This window comes from Homo sapiens, chromosome 2, assembly GCF_000001405.40.
Source record: "Homo sapiens chromosome 2, GRCh38.p14 Primary Assembly".
Classification (NCBI taxonomy): domain Eukaryota; kingdom Metazoa; phylum Chordata; class Mammalia; order Primates; family Hominidae; genus Homo; species Homo sapiens.
In genome coordinates this window covers 133,942,526-133,969,616 of record NC_000002.12, presented here as the reverse complement: position 1 = coordinate 133,969,616, position 27,091 = coordinate 133,942,526, and the positions used below count along the sequence as shown (strand labels likewise).

The following is a 27,091-nucleotide window of genomic DNA, read 5'->3' as shown; positions in this document are numbered from 1 at the left end:
TTCTGAGAATATAAAAGATATCCTGAAGGACATAAGTTACCTGTAATCTTAACACCCAGAAAATATCAATATTTTCATATTGAAGGATTTCCTTCTTTTCAGTGTCTTTTTTTGAAGCAATATTTTGTGGTGTTTTTAGCTTTTATACATTCTGTGTCATGTTAAAAATTCACCTTTTATTATGAACATTTTTCTGTCATTTACCAGACTTCAAAAATATGACTTTTAAAAATTCTTATTTTCTAATTACAAAAATAATTGTAATTGTAACTAAATCAAAGGATTGTAACTAAATCAAAGGATTCAGAAATATTTCCTGTACTCCAATTCACTCCCCAGAAGAAATCTCTGCTAACAGCTTGAGACTTTTTTGTTGTTGTTTCTGGGCATAGTCAGTAATTCAAATTTTAGAGCAAACAAACAAATGGGCTTATATGCCACTTGCTCTTAAAAAAGATTTAGCATTGTGTGGGCACTTCTGTTTTTACTAAAAATAGCGGAAGCATGATTCTTCATAGCTACTCAATGTTCTGCGATTGAACATTCCCATTGTTGGGCAGTTTTAGTATTCTAAAGAATGCTGAAATGGACATTCTAATATGTACTTCTTTATCCGTGAGAAGTTGGAGTATTTTTAATGGCTCTTGGATGCTAAGCAAGTTGGTATTAAGAATTCAGCTTCCAAATAGAGCTCTTGGCTTTGGTCTCACCTTGCCTCCTGCCTCTGCCTGTCTCTCAGTCAGTCTCTCAAGCTGCTTTGGGGTTGGCTGCAGTTTGCAGTGAGGATCACTGAGCCCCAGGACCCCCTAGTCATGCCTCAGTGGTAGCATTTTCCAAGAAGAAGGAGAAGTTTTGAGGAACTCAGAGTTGCAGAAATGGCCTGGCGGGTATAGGGGGTTCCCATCATTCCCCACTGCGAACACCCAGGGTTGGGGGTGGCTGGGGTATGGGGAATAGGGGAAGTAGGGGTGTGGGGAAAGGAGAGGAAGTGAGCCTTTCTCTGCTGAAGGGGAGCTTCCATCTCCATCTCTGCTCCTGAGTCACAGTAGAACAAATAGCTGTGGGACATAAAAATGTGAAGTTAGTATGGTTAAAGGTAGGGGAGAAACTGTTATTCGCCCTCCTGGAAAGGTCAGGTCAACTGCAAAGAGAAAGCAATAGAAACAAGAGATTGCAGGACTGAGGTTTCTAGAATGGGAGCTCACAGAGTGTCTTGCATCAGAGCAGATATGTGATGTGCCATTTCACGTGATGGGAAAATGTGCTTCTTGGGGGAAAGGCTGGAGAGGGTTCATGGTTCACTGAGAATGAGCAGGAAATCACATCCTTCCAAAATATGCAGAGATAGGGAAGAATCTTGGGTTCTTGCGGAATACAGCTGATGTGTGATTACTCCAGACAAGGCGTTATGATACAAGGATCTCAGCAGCCACTTCTCTTTTCCTCAAGCATTTCTTGCTCTGGGATAATCCCTATATAAACTCCTCCCTGAGATGTGCAATGGGAGAAAAGGATCAGTTTAGAAGGAAAAGAAACCATGAAGGCACGAAGGTTCCTCCTTCAGACACAAAGCTGAAGTTTACAACGGCAGCTGCCCAGGATGGGATGGGATGGGAGCTCTTTAAAGGCTCATGGAACATGTGCCTGGTGGTCACAAGTCTCCAACACTTTGGGCCATGTATCAGTCAGGATTCAGAGAAGCAGAACTACTGGGGCACACACACACACACACACACACAATCCCTGCAACCAATTATATATGTATATTATATATAATATTGTATATTTATATTTAGAGAGTTTCTACTATTGGTAAGGTCAAATCCCTGCAACGAATTTATATAAATAGGTGTGTATATAATTTAATATTATTATACTATGTATTTATAGAGTGAGACAGTTCCTATAATTTTTGGTAAGGCTGAATCCCTGCAACACATTGTATATATATATGAAGTAAAACAGAGTAAGAACAGGCTGGAAAGAACAAGCCGGAGCCCACAGGATGAGCTGAGCCCCCTGTCAGTCCCCATTGTCTCTGGCTGGGGTGGGTGGGGGACATGGATGTCCTATAGAAGCTGAGGCTCCTTATCAAGTGTGAAAGACACCTCGGCAGGAGTTGCAGTGGCTGAAGAAGGATCTAGAGAAGGCAGAGCAGTCGCAGGCCTGACCACTCCCTCACACCTATGAGTGAGCTGGCAGATACATGTGAACATGTGTGAGCTATGAAACACCTGCTGGCTGGGCATGGAGGCTCACATGTGTAATCTCAGCACTTCATGAGGCCGTGGTAGGAGGATCACTTGAGGTCAGGAGTTTGAGAATAGCCTGGCAACATGGCAAGACCTCGTCTCTACAAAACAGAAAATTAGCCAGGTGTGGGGGTGCACGCTTATAGAGCCAGCTACCTGGGAGGTTGAGGCAGCAGGATTGCTTGAGCCAAGGAGATTGAGGCTGTAGTGAACTGTGATGGCACCTCTGTACTCCAGCCTGGGTGATGGAGTGAGACCCTCTCTCAAAAACAAACCAACCCCCACCCCACCACAAAACACCTGCTGCTTCCCTATGCTCACAAAATTTCCACAAGAATCTCTCTTGTGGTCCACCTTAACCAGAAACGTACAGGAAAGGAAATTCTAGGAACTGTAGTTCAGCCTAACCAAGCTGATATATTACAAAGCCGCTACAGTCCTCTTCTTGATCACTTGTCACTCATACACATCTCCTGAAACCAGACTTAATCTCCAAATAAAGACATGATACAACCATCTGATGTACAAACAGAAACACCCTAAATCTGTCTCCAAAAGAAGATATATAGTCCTTTTTTTGTCTTTGGGTAATGTTCATTCTTCTTCTGGGAAGTTCATGCCCCCACTTTTATATCCTACCTTAAATACTGAAATATACGGTTAACATCTATTAGCATATTTTTATATATGATAAGGAGAAGAGAGAGGGAAAGAAACAAGTATTTAGCTAATACATATATAAACATTAATATCTAAACAAGGAATAAATATTCATGGCTGCTACAGTCCTCTATGCAACTGGCCACAGGGTCGTAGCTAGTATTTTTATCTACCTTCTTTTACTATCCATTCCACTTTCCTTCCCTTCGCCAAACACCTAAGCTGGTCATGGCTCCTTGCCCAGTGGATGACCCAGACCTTCATTGCTGGTATGGGCATTGCTAGTCCTGCCTCAACTAGATTGTTGAATTTAATCACAGGGCATGAGAATACTAACATATGTCCATTCCAAACATACATCCCCCTATGCCCTTTATGTGGCAGCAACTCAATTTTGTCATGACAGGCAGGAGTGATTCCCTCAGTGTATTCAGCAAACCCCTTTTCGGCCTATTGATTCACAGGCACAAGGGATCCCAAAATGGCCAGATGGAAGTTTCCAATTCCAGTTCAATGAAATCATTGTTGTGCTATTAGAAATTCTCCCTTCAGAACGAAGACCACTAGCCCAGTAGAACCCAAAATTGAGGGGACAGGAAGCACAATGTTGCCAATGGATCACTAGGTGAGTAGTGAGGGGAGCCCCTCCCATTCTCAGCACTTGATTTGCAAACCTGTGCTTCCTGGCTACAGGAGAAATAGCACCAAATATCAGATACTGATTGGCTGCATTTGCTGCTTCCTAGAAGATATTGGCCCACTCCTTTAATGTTCTGCCACCTACCTAATGCTGTAATAGAATCTTTACAAGGCCATTTCATCATCCTGCCAAGCTAGCTGTTTCAGGTTTATGGGGAGCATCATATGATCAGTGAATTCCATGAGTTCCAGATATATGGGCTGATTGTTGTACTTCATTTTCTGTGAAGTGAGTTCCTTGGTCATATCATATACAAGGCTGTTTGGGATAACAGGAAGGTAGGTAAGGCACTGTGTAAGTCTATAGATAGTAGTCTTGGGAGAAGCCTTGCAGGCAGAAAATGCAAATTCATAAACAGAATAAGTGGCTAAGAACAAATTATTCTGTCTTCCATAATGGAAGCAATCCAAGGTGATCAACCTGCCACAGTCCTCCTGAGGAATGGGGCCATATCAAGTGCTCAGTGTTGGTCTTTCTGTTGGCAGATTCAACAGTCAGCGTGGCTGAAACCAGACTGGCCTTGGTGAATAGCAGTCCGTGTTCCAGAGCCATAGGGCTACTTTATTCATGAGTCCATTGGCCAATGACAGGAGTGGCTGGGGAAACAGGCCGAGTGGTATCCACAGAATGGGTCATCCTATCCACTTGATTGTTAAATTTCTCCCCTGATGAAATCACCCTTTAGTAAGCTTGTACGTGAGGTACGAACATCTTCACACCCCATTTCCATGCGGAGTGGTGCATCCACATACCTCTTCCTAGATCTCCTTTCCATTCATTTTTCAGTCTTGTTCTTTCTAAGTCCCTGACAATCCAGCCAAACCATGAGCAGCCCATGAAGCAGTTTAGACCCATGCTTCTGGCCATATCCCCTAAGAAACATGAACAATCAGCACCTACTCCAAGTTCTACTTATTAGGAGTATTCCCCTTTATGACTGTCCCGGTCATCCCCATGTGGAGCTGCAGTGCTGCAGCCATCCACTTTCATGTGCAGAACCATCTGTAAACCATGCACAAAGCTTTCTCTTTCTCCTGCTCAATAAACTGGTTTTAGGGAACTCCTCAGGAGGCTAGAGGTATAGGTGAAAAGAGAGAAGTCAGAGTAGCAGAAATAGAGACCTTGGGGATCTGGGCTACATCCTCATTCAATCTGTGTCCTCAAGACCTGCTCAAGCCTGATCTCATGTATACCACTTTCATTTGATGATGGAGTGCTGCTGTGAATGCTGACATTTATGGCTTGATGGGTCAGGCAACCCCAGTTTATGCTGGGTAGCTCAGGTCAGATAATAACTTGGGGTCCTATGGTCATTTTGCCTCTACTAAGGCCCAGTAGCAAGACAAAAGCTGTTGTTATTTCTCAAAGGGATTGTGGTTATCTGCAGAGGATAGCATGGCTTTGTTCCCAAATCTGAAGAGTCTGCATTATAATTCACACATATTGCCTACCAAAGTCTCCATATGTCATCACTATCAGCTACTGACTCTTCATGCGTGGTTATATCTGTGGGTTATATGGTCAAAGTGGTAGAACAACTTGCATTGCAGCCTGAACCTGCTTCAAAGCCTTCACTTTTCTGGGATCATCTCAAACTGGCAGATTTTGGGGTCACTTGGCAAATGGGCAGATGTTGCCTACAAAATCCAAAGAAACCCACTATGCATTGTGCCTCTTTCCTAGGTAAGATGGGCCCAATGTAGCAACTTGTCCTTTACCTTGAAAGAGATAGATCATGAAATTTTCTTAAGGTTTTTGTGGAGTTTATTTCTCTTACCCTGATGCAAATATTGTTTCAATGTGCCTAAAATGGTTGCTTATTAGGTCTGATCAGCATCACCTCATCAATGTAATGGACCAGTGTGGTGTCCTATGGCATGGAAATGTGGTGGTGTCCCTATGGGCTAGATTATGGCATGGAGCTGGAGAGTTTCCCTAGCCTTGAGGTAGAACAGTGAAGGTATATTGCTGGCATTGCCAACTGAAAGAAAAGAGCTTCTGATGGTCTTATTAATAGGCATTTGTTGGATCAATAGCTACATAAAAGGTGACATACAAGCCGCATGCATACAGTGGATGTATTGCTTTGTTCCAACAACAGCTGCATCTGGAAGAGCAGCTGCCTTTGAAGTCAGCACCTACTTAACTTCAGGATAATCCACTGTCATTCTACAAGCTCCCTCTGTCTTCTACACAGGCCAACTATTATAGGCCAGTTATATGGGGATGGGGTGGTAATCACCATCCCTCAATCTTTCAAGTTCTCGCTGGTGACACTAATCTTTACGGGAATGTGGTTTTGCCTTTGGTTTACTATTTTTCCAGGTAGAGAACAGTACTAGTGATTTCCACTTGGTCTTTCCTACCATGATAGCTCATGCTCCTCTGCAGGTTAGGGAACCAATGTGGGGATTCTGCTCAGAATGTCCATGCTAACGAATGCACCCCAGAACTTGGGAAATGACCATAGGATGATTTCAGGCCCCACTGGGCCTACTGTGAGATGGAACCAAACCCAAACTGCATTAATCATTTGACCTTCATAAATGCCTACTCTGATTGGTGGATTGCAGTAACATTTTACGCATTCGGGAATTAGTGCTAGTTCAGGGCCAGCATCCCATAATTCCTGAGAAAGTCTAATAGTTACTCCTTCCCCAAGGTACAACCACCCTAGCAAATGGCCATGGATCTTTTGGGAAAGATTGGGAGGGAGATACACACTTATACATTTTTCACGGTATGGCAGGGTCCTTCTTCAAGGATTCACAAACTCTATGTTGGTGAATCAGTTCAAGTCTGGGAACTGATTGAGAGGCTATGACTCTGTCATTTGGTGACTTAATCCAGAACTTCTGATCACTAGACTTAGAGCTTTTCCATTCACACAGATACAGAAGACTTAATAGACTACCTATCTACTTTATTTCTAGGGACAGTATGATCAACTTAGTCAATGCCAACAATTTCTGTGAATCAGACTATTTTTATTATTGCTTTGGTTCTGATGTCACTTGGTCCCTGCCACCCTAGAGTCCTATCACCTTCATTGCATTCAGGAATCTTAATTCAATCATAGTCGATGCCCTGATATCTGATCTACAGAGATGAACGAGCACTGAGCTCTTCAAGGATGCTGAGGGAGGGGTCACCTCATGAATTTATCACAGCCTTGGCAAAGGATGTGTCCTCTGGACCCTTCCAGAATGGATGAGCAGGTCTTGCATGATCAATACATTCTAGCATTTTAATCTCCTTAGGTCTTTGAATACTTGCCTTTATAGTACACTAAGAAGTTGTGGCATTTTGATTTCATTTACTGTAGACCACCTTTGGATACATATTTCAGTTAACCAACCAAACAAGTGTTAGAGCTCTTCCTGTCTCCTTGAAATAAAGCATGGAATACATACTCTCTGCTCAATGCACCCTCATTAGTAAATCTGTGCTGATCCAGTTTGTACTCCTTCCTCCTGAACTCAGGCAAGAGTGGAGAGGGAGTGGCTGAGAAAGCTAGACTAAAGAATCAAGAAGATTTAATGAACTTACTGGTCACCATTTACATCATGATATACATTCTGGAAGGGACCTAGGAGACTGGTCAGGAATACCTCCTAATTAGCAAGGGAGCTAACTTTCTCCCTAATTCGCTTTACCTTGCATTGTTAGCTCATTCTTGGTTTTCTTGAGGTGAGCAGATGACAGAGTTGGGAAAGGATGCCATTGTCACTTGGATTCTTTCCCGATAATTCCTTCCTCTTGGTAGGAAGAGTAGATAGCTCTTCAGCTTCCTCCTCTTCGAATAGGGTAGTGCTTTATGTAAATTGTGAGGATTAGAGAGACTATAAAGAGCTTGGCACATTGCAGACATGTAATACATAGTTGGCATCTATTCTTATCATTAGACCTAACTATGGGAGTAAAATCGATTTTCATCCTTTTTGTTTGAATACGTTTGAGAGCTTTCTTGCTTTTAGTTTGTTAATTTCATTCTATATATCCTGAATTTTTGCAGTCAGCAGATTATAGCCATTTGCCATTTCTTCAGATAACTATCTGAAAGATCTGAAATTTTAGAATCAGACAGCGCTGTGGCTGAAATATCCAAGCATAGCCATGACTGCTTTATTCCAGTGTAAACCTCAGTGCAAATGCTGCTTGACTAGTGACTGATTTGCACCATTCGTGGAAATTAGAAAACTAGAAAATTAGTTCGTTTTCTAGTGCTTTTCGATAGTCATCCACTGAATGGAGGCATGAGTACAAGGGAAGAACAATCCACTGAATATGGGACCCTGTAGGTGGTACTTTATTCCTAATTTAGAAAAAAAATATTCAAAACAACTTAATTTTTGTAAGTAAACAGAAGATGGTACAAGTAACTTAGCCAAGGTCGCATAGAAAAAACCCAGGTAGTGTAGTGCTTCAAAGCATAGGTTTCAGGGCCAGGTAGTCTGGGTTGAATTTTGGCCAAGGGCAATTTATCTAATCTCTTTGTGCCTTGGTTTCCTCAGCTGTAAAATGGAGGTTACTATGTCTATCCCAAAGGCTTGCTGTGAGGATTAAAGGAGTTATCACTTTAAAGCCCATAGAACAGTTCCTGCACATTGTCTATGTGCTCAGTAAGTGTTTGCTAGTGAAAGCAGGTCTGTTGATATCCTGTGTTTATGCTTTGCCATTGGGGGAAGCTGAGTGAAGGGTACATGGGAACTCTGTACAGTTTTTGCAACTTCTTGTGAGTCTTAAATTATTTCAGAATAAAATGTTACATAAAACAAAGGCAGGTCTCCTGGCTCCAAAGCCTGTACCTGTGCCTGTCCTTGGATATCCTTCTGTCCATCATTAGGAAAAGGCATTCCTTAAAAGTCCCAGTGCAGGAGCTGCTCCAGCCTAAGGGCTGCAAGGTTAATCAAAAGATGAGTGTTTCAGGATCCAACTGTACATTTAGAGAACAGCACCACTACTTAGAGTAACTAATTAAACCTGCAAGGAACTGCAAACCTGTGGTTTAAAATCCCCAGAATTGAAAGCTGTGAGAAACACCATTCTGTCCCATTTAATGATGAATGGAGGATCTAAACAAAAACTCCTCAGTAGCCTGTGTGAGTTCAGGATTACACATGTATGCACACACCACACATTTGCCTTAGAAACCTCAAAGGTTAACTACTTGTTATGTGCTTATGGCCTAAGTGTCAGATAAAATCCTATATAAGCACTGGGAACATACCCTATAATTTTGTTCATCAAAGTAAAAGAAACATGAGGCCGGATGCAGTGGCTCCCGCTTGTAATCTCAGCACTTTGGGAGGCCAAGGCAGGCAGATCGCGTGAGTCTAGGAGTTTGAGACCAGCCTGGGCAACAAAGGAAGACCCCTTCTCTACAAAAAATTGAAAAATTAGCCAGGTGTGGTGGGAGTGCCTGTAGTCCCAGCCCCTCATGGGATTGAAGTGGGAGGCTTGCTTGAGCCCAGGAGGTTGAAGCTGCAATGAGCCATGATTGCACCAGTGCACTACAGCCTGAGCAACAGAATGATACCTTGTCTCAAAAAAAAAAAAAAAAAAAAAAAAAATGGAAAAGAAAAAGAAAAAAGAGGCTGGGTGCAGTGGCTCATGCCTATAATCCCAGCACTTTGGGAGGCTGAGGTGGGCAGATCATGAGGTCAAGAGATCCAGCCCATCCTGGCCAACATGGTGAAATCCCATCTCTACTAAAAATACAAAAATTAGCTGGGCATGGCGGCACGCTCCTGTAGTCCGAGCTACTCAGGAGGCTGAGGCAAGACAATCACTTGAACCTGGGAGGCGGAGGTTTCAGTGAGCTAAGACCATGCCACTGCACTCCAGTCTGGTGACAGAGCGAGACTCTGTCTCAAAAAAAAAAAAAAAAAAAAAAAAAGACAGAAAGAAAAGAAACATAAGGAAAATATCTGGGAATATCATTTTTAAGACATTGAAAGGAATTGATGTGTCCAAATTTGTGCAGATCAGGTGATTTTGCTGATCCAGTGAGGTATATGAGAATTTGTAAAACCCAGGGCTGAGGCAGAAACCAGTTTTCTGACCTCTTGAATTTGCTCTTGAACTCTAGTCAGCATTTCAGAAAAAAATATGTTCAGAAGGAAGTTCCTAGTAGCACTCAGGGACCCTCAAAGGTGTTGGGAGGGTGGGGTCTCTCAGAGTGGGCATGGGTAGATTTAAAACTCGATTTAAATTGTAACAAAATGAATATTTGGAAAACAAGCCGAAAAAGGCTTTTTGTAATTTCTAACTGGATAAAATAATGAAGAATAAAATCTTCCTGACTGTGAGGAATATGTCAAAGAAAACAGATTCTTGCACATCAATAATTCTTAGGGTGATGGACAAAAAATTCCTCAAAAGGCATGGGTTAAAAAACGGTTTTGAAGAATTCAGGACTAGATGGTATGACTCTGTTACCCCAAGAATGACATCTCATCGATCCCATCTCTACCTTCCCTACTCTTCACCGTTAGCCAAGACAAATCAGGACAACTGCTAAATTATTAGCAGAAATTTTACTTTGACTTCACTGAGGACTCAGTGTTTGAAAGGGAAATTGGAAAAATATTTCTTTCCAGGGAGTCTACTTTTTCACTGGTTCAAAAGAACTGAGTTCACTGGGCTTCAGAGAATAACCAAAGGCTGGTTGTTAAAGACATGGGCTCCATGAACTAGAGTCCACATCCACTCTTGCCTGCCCCGTGTGGCCTTGCTTCACCAGCCTGACTGCTGGGCTTGCTTCCTGCCTCAACAGCTTAGGAAGTGAACTGTTCTGGGTGAGACATGTAATCTCTCTGAGCCTCAATCTCCTCATCTGCACAATGAAGATGATGATAGAATGCTCCTAAGGTGGTGGATGAAATGCTTAAATGAGATAATGCATTTAAGGCACCCAGCACCTTAAAAGTTGTCAGTAAAACGAGCTGTACTCGTTACTATCCTGGAGTGGAATCAGGTGATCTTCTGCCCACCTCCACCTGACACCCCACCACCCTCCATACAGTGCCAGTGCTTTCAGTCCTATCACGGGGTCTTATATAAATGCCTGGCCATGCTCCAAGTATAAATTGTTGTATGTATGGGAAGACAGCCTTAATTAAATAGAAACAGGATTTGGAAGATCTAGACATCTAATCTGTAATTCAGTTCCTGGTCAGATGGAAGCTGAGTATAAAAGGCACCTGAATTCCAGGTGACTCAACCTGGGACCTCTCTCTAGGAAGGAGGGGAGGTAATAATAAGACTTAGTAATACTCTACCTTCCCTGCGAACTCCTTAAGTTCCAAGTGCTGTCCTGTCCAGGCCCTCCCTTGGGGATCCTTCCATAACTCAAATTTTACAAAATGGGACCCTTGTCATCCACCTCCCTTTCAGGTAAGGTTGCTTCCATCCGGTGAGAACTTAAGTCAGAAGTCTTCGTCCTGGTGACAAATGGTCAGCTTCTCCAGCGGATGTTCCAGTGCCTGGAGCTCATGCTCCCTGAACGCCTGGCTTGGTGTCTCTTCTCAGTGAGCACAGCCTTTCTTGAATTCACACCAGCTGAACTTCGTGAAAGTGCACTTAGGGCTACTAGCATTTGAATTTCCAACTTTTTTTTTCCTCTTTGGCATTTTGTTTCTATTTTTTATGCTTCTTTTTTGTATTTTATGTATCCTTGTGAGCCATCTGCCATCCTTTCTGGAATGAGATGGCATATAAATGCATACATATATGCATACATAAAATACATACTGATATTTGAGAAAGACTTATCAAACACAGGCATCCCTCAAGGTCATTGGTATTCAAGAGAGTAAGGGGGAGGGATGGGGGAGATAGTGGTATTTTTCAAAACATATATGCCAGTAATCTTCTGGTCTCCTCTTTACCTTTATTTCAGAGACCCAGGTAATTTTAGAGTCACTCTGGAGGGAAGATTCGTATCTTGAAAAATTCTTCCAGGTGATTTGGACATACCTTTCTGCCTCCCAGCCACCCCCCCCCGCCATGGCTCATAGCCACGTCTCCGGGATTCCTCAGCTCTATTTCTGGATTTGGTCAGAAAACAGCCTGCTCTGCTGGATTAGCTCATCTCTCCATGGAAATGCCACCCTGGAGTTATGAGGTAGTGTTATGTCCTTGGCTTTTAGAGAGATAATATAAGAAACAGACAGTTGAAAGGCATTTCTGAATCTTTTGCAAAGCCTGAGATGAGGGCATTGTCCATTATGTGACCAAATGTCACCCAAATAAAGATTTCTCTTCACAATCGCTTATAATATTCAGTGCTAGAGAAAAGTTCAATTCTCCAGGAAAACCTGAATTCTTTCTTTTTATAGATAAGCAGAATTGCAGTGCCCATCATGCTGTCATTTATTTTTTCATTATCTTCCAGGGGATTCTGTTCAATCCAGCAAATATTGAATGCTAGCTACCATGTAATATACTGGATTATAAAGATCAATAGGGCCAGTTCTGGGCTCTGAGACACGGTCTAGGGAACACAGACCAAAATACATTATAGCTATGCTTTCCTCAGATGCCTTTTGTAATGATATCTCTTTGTTCCCAGTAGTTTCTGAAAAGCTTTGTTCTCTAAATTTTTATGTGCTATGTTGTATTTATGTAGTTTTCCCCAGTGGAAGACAGACTTTTGGAGGAGTTTTTTGTTTTATTTGTTTTTGGCTAGTTGTTGTCCTATATTTCCTACTGCCCTACATCCCCCTTTCAGAGCACGGCCTCTTTCTAAGGCTTTCTGGTGCAATGCAACCCTCCTCGATGGCCACAGCTGATTGACTGGAGTGAACCTGTGACCTGAACTGGGCCAGTCAGATTTTTCATACTGGAAATTTGGCGTCGGAGCCCTGAGAAACAAGTCAGGTGGTCTCGGGGGCTGAAGCTACCCCTGTGGGGTGACTAGTGGAACTCCTGGTAGTGAGAAAAAGTGAGATGAGACTGATGATCTTCAGAAGGAAAAGTTTGGACTAAACACCCAGAGGAAAGCTGAAATGAGAGACCACATGGAATGAAGGAGAACGTGAGTATGAGCAAGCGAAGGTGAGAAAAACACACGGAAGCACATGAAAGTTCTTTTTGGCTTGTTCCTATTTTCTCTGTGACATAAAAGGGAAGGTCTTTGGTGGAGAGTAGGAATGGGAAGAGGGTGGGCAATTTGAGAAGAGAGAGGGTGTGAATTACTCATCATGGAGCAGGGGTGTGAATTGACTGAGGGAATGTGGTTGGAGGGACAAACAGCACTACAGGCACGCTGGAGGTTTTTGTCATGAGTTTACATGGAGACAAGTCGTCCTAGCTGCATGCTTTTTCTCTGGACACTTTCAGTTGTGTGGGTGTGGCACAGGCAGAAAGTCAGATTTAACCAGGGCTGGGTTTTCTGCCAGGTGACTGTGACAGAGGAAGAGAGGAGCAAAGGAGTTGATGGTGTCTTCAAAGGACTGATGATAACAATGGACCACAGAGCCTAATAAGAAAGCTTAGGGTACAAGTGGACAGCGCAATGATGGCAGTGATAAACATCCTAGTGTGGGCTAAGAATCATTGGTATTCCAGTACAGGGGGAGTAAGCTGGGGAGATAAAAGATGATGTTTGGAAAATAGGATATGTGAAACACAGATTGTGAAGGAGGGCAATAAGTGGCAATGCCATAGAATAAGGTCGGGGAGAGCAGAGGTAGGGTGGACAAAATAATTGGAGATGAGAAGATCAAGAAACTGAGAGATAAAGACCCTCGAGGTGTCATCTGCATGAATACTGAAATCATCAAGTGTTAGTACAAGAGTGGTCTTAGAGGGAGAGAGAGGGAAACGGAGCAGAGTCGCTTGGAGACCTTTAAGTGTCTCCTACAAAAAGGAGCAACAGAGAGATTGAACAGTGCATAAGCTTCACAGAAGCTGTGTGTGGGGGTGGTTTATGGAAAAGATAGGAAGAACCAAACTGTTTTTTCCTATTTTTACACACTCACTCAATACTCAACACAGAATATTTCACCTCTAGGCACCAAAATGTACAGGAGTTTCTCCCAACCCCAAACCAGTTCTTCAGCAGACATCAGCTGGGCATCCTCCAATTTAATTCAATTCTGACACTACCTACCTGGAGACAGTATCAGATCCCACAGATTGAGGGCTCCATCCCACAAGACTGCCCTCTACTCCAGATGCCAGTTGTAAGTCCCGAGTTGAGACCTGTGCTGCTGACCAACAGGCTATAAATTGGGCATTCCCAAGACCCCCTTAGGGGTTGATTTGCTATGGCAGATCACAGAACTCAGGGAAACTCTTTACTTATGTTTACCCTTCTAGTATAAAGGATATTACAAAGGATATAGATTAATGGCAAGATGAAGAGGTATATAGGGCAAGGTAAGGGGGGAGGGGCAGAGCTTCTGTGCCCTTTCTCAGAACCTTCACACTTTCAGCAACCTACGAGCTCTCTAAATCCTGTTTCTTTTTTTTTTGTTTGTTTTTTTGTGTTTTTTTTATGGAGGCTTCATTACACATGCATGATTGACTAAACCATTGAACGTTGGTGAGCAATTTGACCTTCAGCCTGTCTCCTCCCTGGAGCCACCTCCAGGGTTGGGGTTGAACGTTTCAAACTTCTCATGATGTGGTTGGTTTCCTGGACAGCTAGCCCCACCCTGAGGCTACCCAGGAGCCTCCAGCCACCAGTCATCTCATTAGCATACAAAAAGACCATCACTTTGGAGACTCCAAGAGTCTTAGGAGCTGTGTTTCAAGAAAAGGAGGTGAAGACCAAATATGTATTTCTTATTATAAATATTATCATAACAGTTTATAGGGGAGGAATGGAGTTCTGAAAATAGCAATGAGAAGTGGGACAACTTCCCACTCACAAACTCAGTGGTAGCAGAGGAGTGAGATAAAACAAATCTTGAGGGGGCTGTGTGGGGGTGTTGGGTGGGTAGAAGTGTCCTCAGGGAAGAGCCTGGCTTCAGCAGAGCAAGAAATAGAAGGAAACACTCAGAGAAGAAGATAAGGCTCTCCTCTTTCATACTGGAAATGAACATTCAGAGAAAGGTTAAGGACAGATGGTATTTTGCTGATGATAGGCCATGAGTTTCAGAAGTCACAGTGAAATAGTTTGAAGGGGTAGGAATTTGGGTTCTATTATGAGATGTTCAGAACTTTGTGAGGGCGAGAGTCCAGGTGGAGAGAAAAGAACTGTGGTTGTGGACATCCTGTAATGATCTAGGGAAACAGAAATGTAGGGCCAGGTGGTAGTGAGACTGATGGCTTCTTACCAGGAGGTGAGTGATCCACTATTTCAAAATAAGTAATTCAAAATTTAAGCTGTTGGAATCTTAAAATATTCTGAGCCTCAAGAGAATGTGATTATGGGACCTGACTCAGGTAAACAGGGAGCTATAACCTTTGTTTCTCTGATTATAGATTAGCTCTTTTCCTTACCTACACGGGTTAGTAAAATGTTGTAAATGACTAAAGAGCCCCAGGGAAGACTTATTTTCTATGTTGATTGTCATTATGGATTAACTTCTCTCTTACTTTTCTCACATAAAGACTTCATTATTTCATTGCCTAAGATGGAATGTTAAGTACACTCTTTTAAATTGGAAAGGAAATGAAAATAAGCTGTATGGAAAGGACAACAAACTGTAACTAAGTTGTAACTCATAAACCAGTCTTGTATAGAAAATGTTATAATCCTACTAAATTTCTTTGTTTTCTGCCTGTATAAGCAAGAACTTTTACCTCTGGTGCACTGACCCCGTTACTCTGGAGTCCATGTTTTTAGGATGGATATTTTCAGATTTTTGTGTGAATAAACTCTTTAAAACTGGATTCTGATCCTTTTGATTATTTCAGATTCACAATTGTAAATGTAGGTTCTATTACTAACATGCCAGGGGTCTGATCTAGGTTTCATTGCTTACTGTACAGAAAGCCAATCACTGAGACAAGTATTGCCAGGGAAGAAGGCTTTTTTGGGTGCTACAGCTGAGGAGCTGGGAGGTAAGTCTTATATTTGTCCCTCCAACCAACTAAAATTGGTGGTTTATATAGCAGGGAAAGAATGTAGCTGCCTGTGGTGGGTAGAGTGGTGGGAATTGTGAAGAGGAAATAATTAGAAAGGGGTAAGGAAGCAATCAAAAGTTTAATAAAATAAAATCTAAGTTTAATAAAAAAAGACCATAAACATCAGTTCTGTGGGACAGTTGGGCTGGTTTCAGTTCCTTTTTGCAAGTAGGTTCTTAGACAGATGGTAGCAGTGAGGTGGGAAGTATGGGGAAAGGTTGCTCTGCAGTGCTCCGAATGGGGAGGCGTGGCTGGCGGTAGGGGCACGGGACACAGGAGCAGGCACAAGGCTCAATCACTCACAGACTCCAGCTCTGGTCAGAGTTGGTCTCTAACCCTGGGAACCAATAGTCCAGGCTTTTAGTTATCACTTTCAACATCTCTTGTGTAGACCCACAATCTCTTAACCATCATTCTTAAATCTCCAAACTCTGAAAACCAACTTTTTTTTTTATATTATGCATTTAGTAGCAAAACCTGACCTGACCTAAACTAACAGGAGTGTCTATATAAACATTAATTATCCTAAAAAGTGTGAATATGTATATATTTTAACCATAAAGTGTTTAATGAATTTGACTATGGGGGCTGTTCTATACTCCATGAGGAGTATATCTTGTATACTACCCTGTATTTTGTTTTAAAAATCTGAAAAGTGCTTAAACTCATCTGATTCCAAAGGTCATGGATAAGGGCTTTTGGATTTATGCACCCAAACAAGGGTGTAAAAGCATCTCCCAAGCCTTCTCAAGGTGGAGACAGCTTCATGGGTCTTGCCCCACCACCTGTGAACCCCGTAAAGAGTGCATCGAGGCCCCGTGGGCTTGTTTGCCCAGGACCCGGATGTCCTGTGGGCTTCACCTGCTTGTTATTCACCTTCCTGTTTCTGTTCTCCCTTGTCTTCTACAGGTCAAAACAGTGTGGGAAAAGAAATTTAAAAAAATGTTATTAAAGAAGCTACTGTCAACCTAAAGGAAGAAACTGAGGCAAAATTAATGTAAGTAAAGAGTTTATTTGGGCCAAGATGAGGACAGCTGCTCAGAAGATTCAGGCCCAAGTGATCTTGGATAGGAGCTCTGTTTGGCCTTTGTTACCAGCAGGTTTTTAAAGGCAAAAGCAAGGGGATACGTAGGGGGATGATACAAAGTTGCTTGTCAGGAATTCTCTTTGGTTTACAGAAATGTCATTCATTAGTTATTGCCTATACATTGTTGACATATAGATTATGACCTAATGATATCTATCATGTGGTGTCATTAGGTTAATTTTGAGCTACTTGTGAGAAAAGGCCTAGAGTCCACATAGCAAGCAAATTCAAGAGATGATTATTTAGCTCAGGAGGGGAAGTGGGATGTGACTGTAGCCTCATTCTCATGCCTCACTGGGCCTGATAATTTAAAGGAGGTTCACATTCCTCAGATAGAAAGTTTCTTTTCTTTCTCGCTATAAGCCTCTGTCTTTCTTGTCTCTCTATTGCTAAGTGGTTTGGCATAAAATCATGTGCTCTGGTAGAAACCTAAGGGCTTTTTATTCAGCTGTTGAAATTCATACCCACTGGAGATTCTAGAGCCATCAGTGGCCATGGTTCCTGCCACTGGAGGAAACTGTCTTTAGAGAGTGAAGGTGAAGCTGACATTTATAAACAGCCACGGTGAGAGGCAGGGCTGGAAAGCAGGCCTGGCTCTGTTCCAGTTCCTGTGTCCATTTTGGAGACGAGTTTCCGTTTCCTATGGTTTGATTACGTGATCCCATGAATCTCCATCTCCTGCTTAAGCTGTTTTGAGTGTCTTGTCCATACATGAAGTGTCAGGGTGTCCTAAGAAGACAGTGGAAAGTGATGGGGTCCAGCATCTGGGATGTTGGGCATCTTAGTACTGGGGGAGTGTGTCAGTCTATAGCAAAATCTTCACTTCTGGGCTGGGCTTCAGGATGGAACTCAAGTCTTTTGGAGGGAGGAGGAGTTCCTAGAGGAACTGGGGTCGCAAATGAGTTCCAAGTCAAGGACTCAAGACCATGAGTCAAATATAGATGCCTGAGTGCTGTCCTCAGCAAGCAGTCAAGGGTGTTGGACCCAGACGCCCAGATGGAGTCCAGGGTAGGCATCACTTACAGGTCGTCTTTGATGCATAGAAATAAAAAAGGCAATCTAAAGGGCAGAATTTGGGTTGAAGCCCCATAATAAAAATCAAGCAGCTTGTTCTAAGTAGCAGTTGTCATTTGGAAGAGGCTAGGCAGAAAGGGTGACATGGTAACATTTACAGATAGAAAGAAGGATAAGCAGATGAGAGAGGAAAACTTCAAAGAAAAATGAAGGAGGTAGAATCTGAAAAAAAAAAGTCCTGGACTGAAGAGAACATGGTGTTGCTGCTTTTGTAAGTTATCTGTGGGCTAGGTTGTGGATATAGAGAAAGCTGCTAAAGGTGATAGTTCACTGAAGATGGCAAAAGCACCATGAGCAGAACTGGGACACAGGATCAGGGCCAGATGAGACTACAAGATGACAAATTTTGGGGGTCAGGAGGGGAAGTGAGATGTGACTATGGCCTCATTGGTAGACTTTTCCATTCATGGCCCCCAAGGGACCGTGTCTCTCAGTATTCATGCTCTTGTGCATTGTCTCCCATATTGGACTCTGGGCTTGGCAAGGTGACTTGCTTTGGCCAATAATATGAACAAATTAAATAGGGATAAATTAGAGGCCTGATAGGCATTTGCATATTGGACCTATGCTCTTTGAATTCTGAGATTGCCAGAGGATGGATTGACTAGCTGTCATTACCTTACTACAAGCCTATGGATGAAGCCAGCACAGGAGGTAATGGAAGGAATTGCAGAGCTACGAAGCTGTGACTGTAATGCAGCATGCCTAGTCCCCTTCCTACCTCTAGTCTTCTTGTTATATGAACTGATAACTTATAGTTTAAACTTCTCAGTAAGTTCACTTTCTTGCAACTGAAAGTGTCCTAATGACACAGTGTATTAGTCCATTTTCATACTACTCTAAAGAACTTCCTGAGCCTGGGTAATTTATAAATGAAAGAGGTTTAATTGACTCACAGCTTAGCATGGCTGGGGAGGCCTCAGGAAACTTACAATTATGGTGGAAAGCAAAGAGGAAGCAAGAGACCTTCTTCATAGGCAGCAGGAAGGAGAAGTGCTGAGCGAAGCAGGGAAGAGCCCCTTATAAAACCATCAGACCTTGTGAGAACTCACTCACTATCACAAGAACAGCGTGAGGGAAACTGCCCTCTGATTCAATTACCTCCACCTGGTCTCTCCCTTGACATGTGGGGATTATGGGGATTACAAATCAAGATGAGATTTGGGTGGGGACACAAAGCCTAACCACATCACACAGCCTTTTGTTTTTAATTTTTTGAGGCAAATTCCCATAATGACATGGTTTTTTTTTTGAAGCTGGGAATTCTATAAGTAAAAATATTTGCAAGGCACTTAACAGCTTCGATGGGGAAACTCTATCCCTGTGTCCATGCTTTCTACTTACCTGATCCCCTAAGTACCATTTTCTGAAATGCTGTCCACTGGGATGCAGCAAGGAGTCCAGTTGGTGATTTTAGAGCATCACAGCCATGAAGAGTTACTGAGTTGTGCGTACTCATCTGAAACTAAGACAGCCTTTTTGGTTCCAGTTGTCAGCTTGTGATCTATTTATCTTTGCTCCCAGGGGGCTATATAAAGGATACCAGAAACAGGTACTTCTCATGTCCCTTCTAGCTCAATGAGTAATAGACTTGATGGTTTTTCCCTCTGATGTCTGAAACTTTAAAAAGACAATAAAAACACACAGATCAATATACTGAATAAGTATATCTTCCAAACCTCATACTCTGTTTCTCATTATAAACATATAAATTAGCCTCATGCAAAGAAAAGAAGCATAGCTTGTAACATCTTTTCTATCTGACATGTGCTGCTGCCTAGAAGACTCCTTAACATGCTCCCTTTATTACATCTCCCATCATATTCTCCACTTGAGTATCCAGCAACTGGAATACAGTGTTATAGAAATGAGTAGTTATATATCTGTAATTATTTCCAGCTTCAACCGTGTCTATAATAAGCCAATGTACTTAGGTCACTAAGCTCTAAATAGGCCAGAGGGTATGGAAGACATATCTATCCCCACCACTGGAAGAAAGCTCAAAGCTTGTCCTTGTTGCTCACGCTGTGATGTTTTCCCAAAGGGAGGGCAGCAGGGCTGTTATTTGGGGACAGCTGAGACCTGCGAATGCATAAGAGCAGAAATGATCAATGGAGCATCCCCATTGTCCATCACAGGGAAAACCCAGAGAGGGAAAATAGGGCATATTTTCCCTCACTGCCCTGAATGCAATACAAATCTCATCACTCCATCTCCCTTTTTAGCCTGTGCTGGAGCAAATAGTTTTAGAACATGCACAATTTGAAGCAACCCCATTAAGTCAGGATGGCAAATGCTATAATTTATCCATGCTCCCTCCTTGGAGAAGTTGAACAAATATTGCAGATGAGCTTTATAGGTAAAGACTGTAGCAGAGCCTTATTAACTAGGTTTAGAACAGTAGGTTGAAGCCCTTTCTCAGACAAGAACCACAGACTCTGTTTCCTCTTGATGTGATAGATCTGTTAGGGGTGCTTGTGTCTGCACTAAGATTACAGCTCTAGGCAGGGTAGTTCTTGAGACACTTAGACCACAGCTCTGCTCTTTGAGGAATGAGGCAATTCAAGTGTTAAATGGGCTCCATGTTTTAATCTTTAGCACTTGAACTTATTCTATTTCTGTCCCCTTCTTTGCAATGTTAGGCTCAGCTGTCTGTGGTGACAGGACTTCTTCTGCAGCCAACCAGCATACAGCTGGTCACTACAGCCCTAGGTGCTGCCAAAGGCTGAGAGGAATGGGAAATGCTAGTACTTTCCTTCGTGCAAGAGTGGGAGATGGTGCAAGGGCATTTCTGTCTAGTTCAAGTAAGCATATATTGAGTTCTCCCTACTGGCTAGGCCATTAGAGACATAGAAATGAATAAAGCATGGCCCCTGCCTCAAAAGCTTTCATTGTCTACAGTAAGGTTTGGCAAACTATACCTGTGAGGGTGAAGATGCTGCCTGTTGTAAATAAAGTTTTATTTAAACACAACCATGCACACTCATTTACATATCGTCTATGGCTGCTTTTGTTTCTACAATGGCAGAGTAGGTCTAACAAGATCATATGGGCCCAACAGCCTAAAATATCTACTAACTGATCCTTCACAGAAAATGTTTGCTCACCTCTGCACAACTTAGTAATTTTTGGTATATTTACAGAATTATGCAGCCACTACCACTACCAAATTTCAGCATTTTCATCACCCCAGGCGACATCTCATATCCATTAGCAGTCAGCCCCAGCCCTTGATAACCACTAATCTATTCTCTATCTTTATGAATTTGTCTATTCCTGACATTGCATAAAAGTGTAGTAAGGCAAAATGTGGCCTTTTGTGACTGGCTTCTTTCACTTGCAATACTGTTTTAAAGGTTCATTAATGTTTTAGCATGCATCAGTGCTTCATTTCTTTTTATTGCCTAATAGCAGTCCATTATATGTATATACCATATTTGGTTTATCTTTTCCTCAGTTGATGAATGTTTCGGTTATTTCCACTTTTTGACTATTATAGTTAATGATATTATGAAGATTTGTGTATGAGTTTTGCGAGGATATGTGCTTTTGCTTGGGTACATACCTCAGCATGAAATTTCTGGGTCATAGGATAACTGCATTTAACATTTTGAAGGACTGGCAAACTGCTTTCCAAAGCAGCTATGCTGTTTGCAATCCTACCAGCAATGTATGAAGGTTTCCATTTCTCGACATTCTTGCTAACACTTGTTATTGTCTGTCTTTTTGATTCTGGTTGTCCTAGTGAGTATAAGGTGGTCCTTCATTGTGGTTTTGATTTGCATTTCCTTCAACGCTAATGATGTTGACTATTTTTTCTTGTACTCATTAGCTATCTGTACAATGTCTTCTCTGAAGAAATGTCTATCAAATCCTTTGCCCATTTAAAAATTAGGTTATTTGCTTTTTGGGTTAAGTTGTAAGTGTTCTTTATATATTCTGAATTCTAGTTTCCTATCAGACAGTATATATTATGCAAATATGTCCTCTCATTCTGTGGGTTGTTTTTTCACCTTTTTGATGGTGTTTTTGGAAGTGAAAACAGTTTGTAACCTTGATGATATCCCATTTGCCTATTTTTTCTTTTGTTGCTTGTGCTTTTGATGACCAATCTAAGAAACCATTGCCTAATCCAAGGCTACAAAGATGTACTTCTATGTTTTTTTCTAAGAGTTTTACAGTTTTAGCTTTTATGTTTAGGTATATTATCCATTTTGACTTCATTTTTATATATAGTGTGAGGTAGGGGTCCAAAAATCCTCTTGCATGTGAATAGACAGTTGTCCCAGTACCATTTGTTGAAAAGACTATTCTTTCCCCATTCTTCACACCCTTCGTAAAAATCAATTGACTGTAAATGTGAAGATTTATTTCTGGATTCTCAGTTCTATTCCACTGATCTATATGTCTATCCTTATGCCAGTACCACACAATCTTAATCACTGAAACTTTGTAGTAGGTTTTGAAATTGGGAAGTGTGAGTCCTCCAACTTTGCTCTTCCTTTTCAAGATTGTTTTGGCTATTTTGGATTCCTTGCATTTCTGTATGAATTTTAGGATAACTTTGTCAGTTTATGCAAAAAAAAAAAAAAGCCAGCTGGGATTTTGACAAGGAATGCATTGATTTGTAGATCAGCTTGGGGAATATTCCAAGATCAGTTTTAATCTTTTTGTTTCCAAGATGTTTTGAGCATGGATCATCTGGGTAACTTGCATCAATGATTCCCAGCATTTCTGAGGGTTAAGTTTCTTTTATAATGTAAACCATTATTACTGTCTTCTCAAAGGATAAAACTTTTACTTTTCTATTAAAAGCATCATTTTATTGCCCAAGTACATAAGACCAAACACTATTATGAACTAGAGAATGCTTTTAAGTGAATTTGTATTTTATTAATTCATAATAGTGTCTATATATACTTCAGAAATTATAGAGCAAAACATGGAGAAATGGTAAATATTCTGTCTTCAGCCACTGCTTGGTATATTTATGGAGTCATTGTCCGGTTTGCAAAAAAAAAAAAATCAGCTCCCACTTAGGGAACCTCTAGTTAGCAAGAAAATCCTTCTTCTAAAGCAGGTCTATCTTTCTGTCCAGAGTGCCTCAGCCATAGAACAGGGCAGTGTGAGCAGGACTGGCCTTCGTAAACTGAATAAAGATGCCAAATAGCTCACGATCAACCTGGTGCTTTTAAAGAGTTGACTTTCTTGTGAGGGAAGGAAATTGTATCCCAAGCTGCTTCCCCTGTTGTCTAAAGCTGACTTTGCCTCACCTGGCCTGGGAAACTTTGCTCCCTGGATGCTCTACCAATTGAGTTAATTGGCAGTATGCTCAGATGAACAAATTCAGCCACAGAAATACCTCTAAGATTTTCTTTGGCACCTTCAATTACCAGTTTTTATTAAAAAGAAAAAAGAAAGCAAGCAAACAGAAATCTCATGTGAACATTCTAATCTTTCCTGCTGGCATCACCTTTCTTTATATTTGGAACAAAATGGAGAAGTAAAAAATCGTCCTTTTTTTTTTTTCTCTCAGTCAAGACGCTCTATTGAAGAAAAGAATAAAGTAAATTGATTGCTTATACCAGTCCAGAAAATCGTTCAGATTTGTATTCTCTTCTACTTAGACACATCCACTTTGCCATATTGTAGTGGAAAGGTCACTGATACTAGAATCAGAATATCTTAACTCAAATACCAAATCCCTGTCTTGCTGATCTCAATTTCTTTACAGTTAAATAGAATTAGTAATAGCTAACTTTTGAATGTGAGAATTAAGGAGAAACTTGAAGAGAGTAAAGCAGTTAAATAATTCAAGTCTTGTGTTGTTTTTTTTTATTACTAGCGTGCTATTTTTGCACGAAAGATAATGCACCCGCCACTTCCTGAGATTCCCAACCTCCTTCTAGAGGGCCACGTTTTTCAGTGTGGCATGGGTCCCCGCAGGCTTCCCTTCCTGCTGGAGCAAGTGGAGACTATGCACCTCCCCAGGTGTGTGCCCAAATCATGCAGAGAGGGCTCAGGAGCTCCCAGGGCCCAGCAGCTTCTTCCTGATGGCAGGAGTGGGCCAAGGCAGCATGCCAGGGCCCAGGTAAAGTGAGACCCAGACAGTGGGGAGAGAGGGCGAGGAAGTCACCAGACAGAGAGATGAACATAGCCCTTCTTTTCCTCCCTTCCCATTTCCCACCTGTCCATGTAACTAGCATGACTTACATCTTCGTATGTGTTCTTTGACCCCATGTGGTGTCCTTTCTTTTTTAGTGTTAAACATTTTCTAGGCTTCTGGCTTGGTGCAAATGATTTGCCTTTGGAAAAAATTATATTTATTGAAAGCTTCACCATTTAAATAAAACCCCTCTAATAATTCCCACTTCCCTCCTTATTACCCCTCCTTCCTCTGCTGGCTAGATTCCCATCTGTGTTCATTGCCTTGGGGAGGAGCTTGAAAAGGCGGGGTAACCTGCTAGTCACTGGCTTCCTGTTTCTGGAGCCTGGCCCATGATGGGAAGCAGTGAGGTGCCCTGGGTGGGGTGAGGTGTAATAGGAAAGCATGAAGATGGTGGAAGTGGGAGTGCCTCTGAGGGGAATGCTCCAGGTCAACACAGAAGAGCTTCTGTCCCTACTTTCCTGCTCTTGGACTACAGAAACGTCCTCTGGGCCGAGGGCAGGCTCAGAGTAAGGAGGAGAGAGAGAGAGAGAGACAGAGAAGCAGCAAGAAGAGCAGAAAAGTCAACAGGCCTGAGAGGGCCATGGTGCAAACTGCTTCAAAGGCAGGTCCTTGGAGCCCATGTCACTGCAGAGGAGTTGGAGGGCTAGAGAACAGAGAAGTTTGGCAGCCATCATCCTTGGCCATAGTTCCGGAAGGCTGCAAGAGGCTAGGTGGGCAATGTATGAGCAGGACATCTAGCAAATGGGCCATGGAGAGCCTGACTGAGACTCTTATGTCCTATTCTGGCCCAGAAACTTCACAATGGGTCTTAAATAGCACAGAGAAGTGCAGCCCTGAAAGGTTCACATGGACAGGAGTCTCAGCATGTGGACAGGTGATAGAGGAGCAAATGGGGTGAGGCACATTTTAGCCAACACCTGTAACTGAGGCTTAGGAGATGCCCTCCCCTTTTTCCCCCATGACCTGGTACTAAGTACTCTCTCTTGAACTGGTGAACTACCCTGGACAAAGGACTGAATTCCCAGGGACTGAGATTACATTTTTGTCACCCTAGCAAGAAGAGGGCTCAAATAACAATTCTAAGGCGTTATAGAAAATTTTGTATTTCTTGCACACTTGAGTTGGTGGAATGAAATTCATACCCACCACACTGTTCTTTGTCTATTCCTTGTATGTGTTCCACTCTAGTTGATGTGACTTGGTGAGTCTTTTGGACTGGATTAAATATGGCACAACAAGTCTTTGTCAAGCTTACCATTTGCCTGTTCCTCTATTAGGTACCAGGAACAGGTGTGTGAATGAGAAGTGGTTGGTAGTAGGCAGCCTCAAAGGCCCTCATGAGCTGCACCTCCTGGTATTCTTGACCTTGTGAATGCTCTCCATTTGAATATGGGCTGGCTCTAGTGATGGAGCAAACAGAATATGGCAAACAGAATATGGCAAAAGTGATGGGATGTCACCTCCAATATCAGATTACAATTAGACTGTGGCTTTCCTTTTGCTCATTCTATCTCTGGCTGGTTCGGAGGGAAGCCAGCTGCCATACTGCAAGCTGCCTGAAGAATAGATCCAGAGAAAACGAACTGATATCTCCAGAACTGAAGACCTAGTTCCTACTAATAGCCCTGCTGGGGAGCTTGGTTTCTTCAAGTGTTGAACCTTGAGATGACTGTAGTCCTGTTTGACACTTTGCAGCCTTGGGAGAGACTCAGCCAGAGGCACCCAGCTAAACCTCCAGGATTCCTGACCCTCAGAATCTATGAGAAAATAAATGTTTCTGTTTTAAGTTGCTGTGTTTTGGAGTTACTCATTATGCAGCAAGAGATAACCAGTACCCAGTCCTTGCCCTCCAGGAACTCTTGCTCTAGGATGAGAATTTCTTTGGAAAGAGCATTCATGATAATAAAGATCAGAGAGCTAGGCATAATGGCACGGATTCTGTTAATTAGGCTTCAGGCAGTGAGAAGAGGAGATGAGACGCAGGATGCTGAACAGGCAATAATGCCTGTGAGGTCTGGGATCGGTTTCCTCTGGCCAACACATTCTCTTTAATTACAAAGCTTAGTTCCTGAAATGACAATTTTCTATTTTTACTCAGTGGATTGGTGGAAGTAAGAGAAGTAGCATCCCGTGGTAGAAATGAGAGAGCAGGGCTGTTTAGGGAATTTAGCTCAAATCAACAACTGTTTTTGGGGCGGCCACTCTGTACCTATGAGCCCTTCTCTCACATACTCATAGATGCTGTGCCCCAGCCTCTACTGAATCACCCTTTATCGAGGGCATTTTGCTAGGATAGACTGTGCTTGTGACTGATGTTCTTAGTCATCACCTCTTCTGTGAGGTGGAGCCACTGAAAAATGGTAACTCTCATCTGTCATTGTTATAGTTGCAACAGATTTAAAGACAACTTCATTGAAAATAGAAAAGGGTGGTGGTGGAGGCGGCTGCGAAGGAGAATTGGTTTTTCTTCTAAAAAGCCCTGACTCAGGCCACACATTGAGAGTGCTGCAATCTTTTTGGTTCTACAACTTATATCCCAGAATCCCCAACCCACTATGAAGATACACTCCCTTCTCATCTGAAACATTGTGTGCTAACAATAGCAACACTGGGAACTTCGGATATTTCCTTGCAAATGGATTTTTCCTTTGGATATGACTATATTAAAATATTGCTCCTGGTTCTGGTTCTTAATTTTAGGTGAGTTCAGAAAAAAAGATGCATCAGATTGAAGGAGGACATTGAAATCAATTATATACTGATTAGCTCGGAGGAAAGGTTTCCTTGTTCTTTTTCTTTTTTTTCCCTCTTTCTGTATTGGCTAATCCCCATGCACACTGCAATTGGGTGCAGTCAAGCTGTTCCAGGCTTTTGATAACTGCCTCAACTGTCAGAAGTCACTGGGAGTGCCAGCAGTCAGCCACAGAACTACCACTGAGCTTTATGGAACTTTGCAAATCTTACTGGAATCCATCGCATTTCATCTTGTCAGTCCAACCAGCTCACTGTTTGTTGTATGTGATGTTTTAGAGATAATCTCTCTCTGGGCACAGCACAGTGTTTGTTTT

At 42.2% G+C, this 27,091-nt stretch overlaps 1 long non-coding RNA gene across 1 annotated transcript in view; it reads left to right on the top strand.

Moving 5' to 3' along the window:
* The window catches only part of LOC105373627 (uncharacterized), a 65,027-nt gene that overhangs the window by 16,544 nt on the left and 21,392 nt on the right, over window positions 1-27,091 (top strand). The window contains exons 2-6 of the long non-coding RNA XR_001739714.2: window positions 11,516-11,740; window positions 12,347-12,672; window positions 13,631-14,384; window positions 15,559-15,630; window positions 16,603-16,690. This is a non-coding gene — a long non-coding RNA (uncharacterized LOC105373627). The remainder of the gene's footprint in view (window positions 1-11,515; window positions 11,741-12,346; window positions 12,673-13,630; window positions 14,385-15,558; window positions 15,631-16,602; window positions 16,691-27,091) is intronic.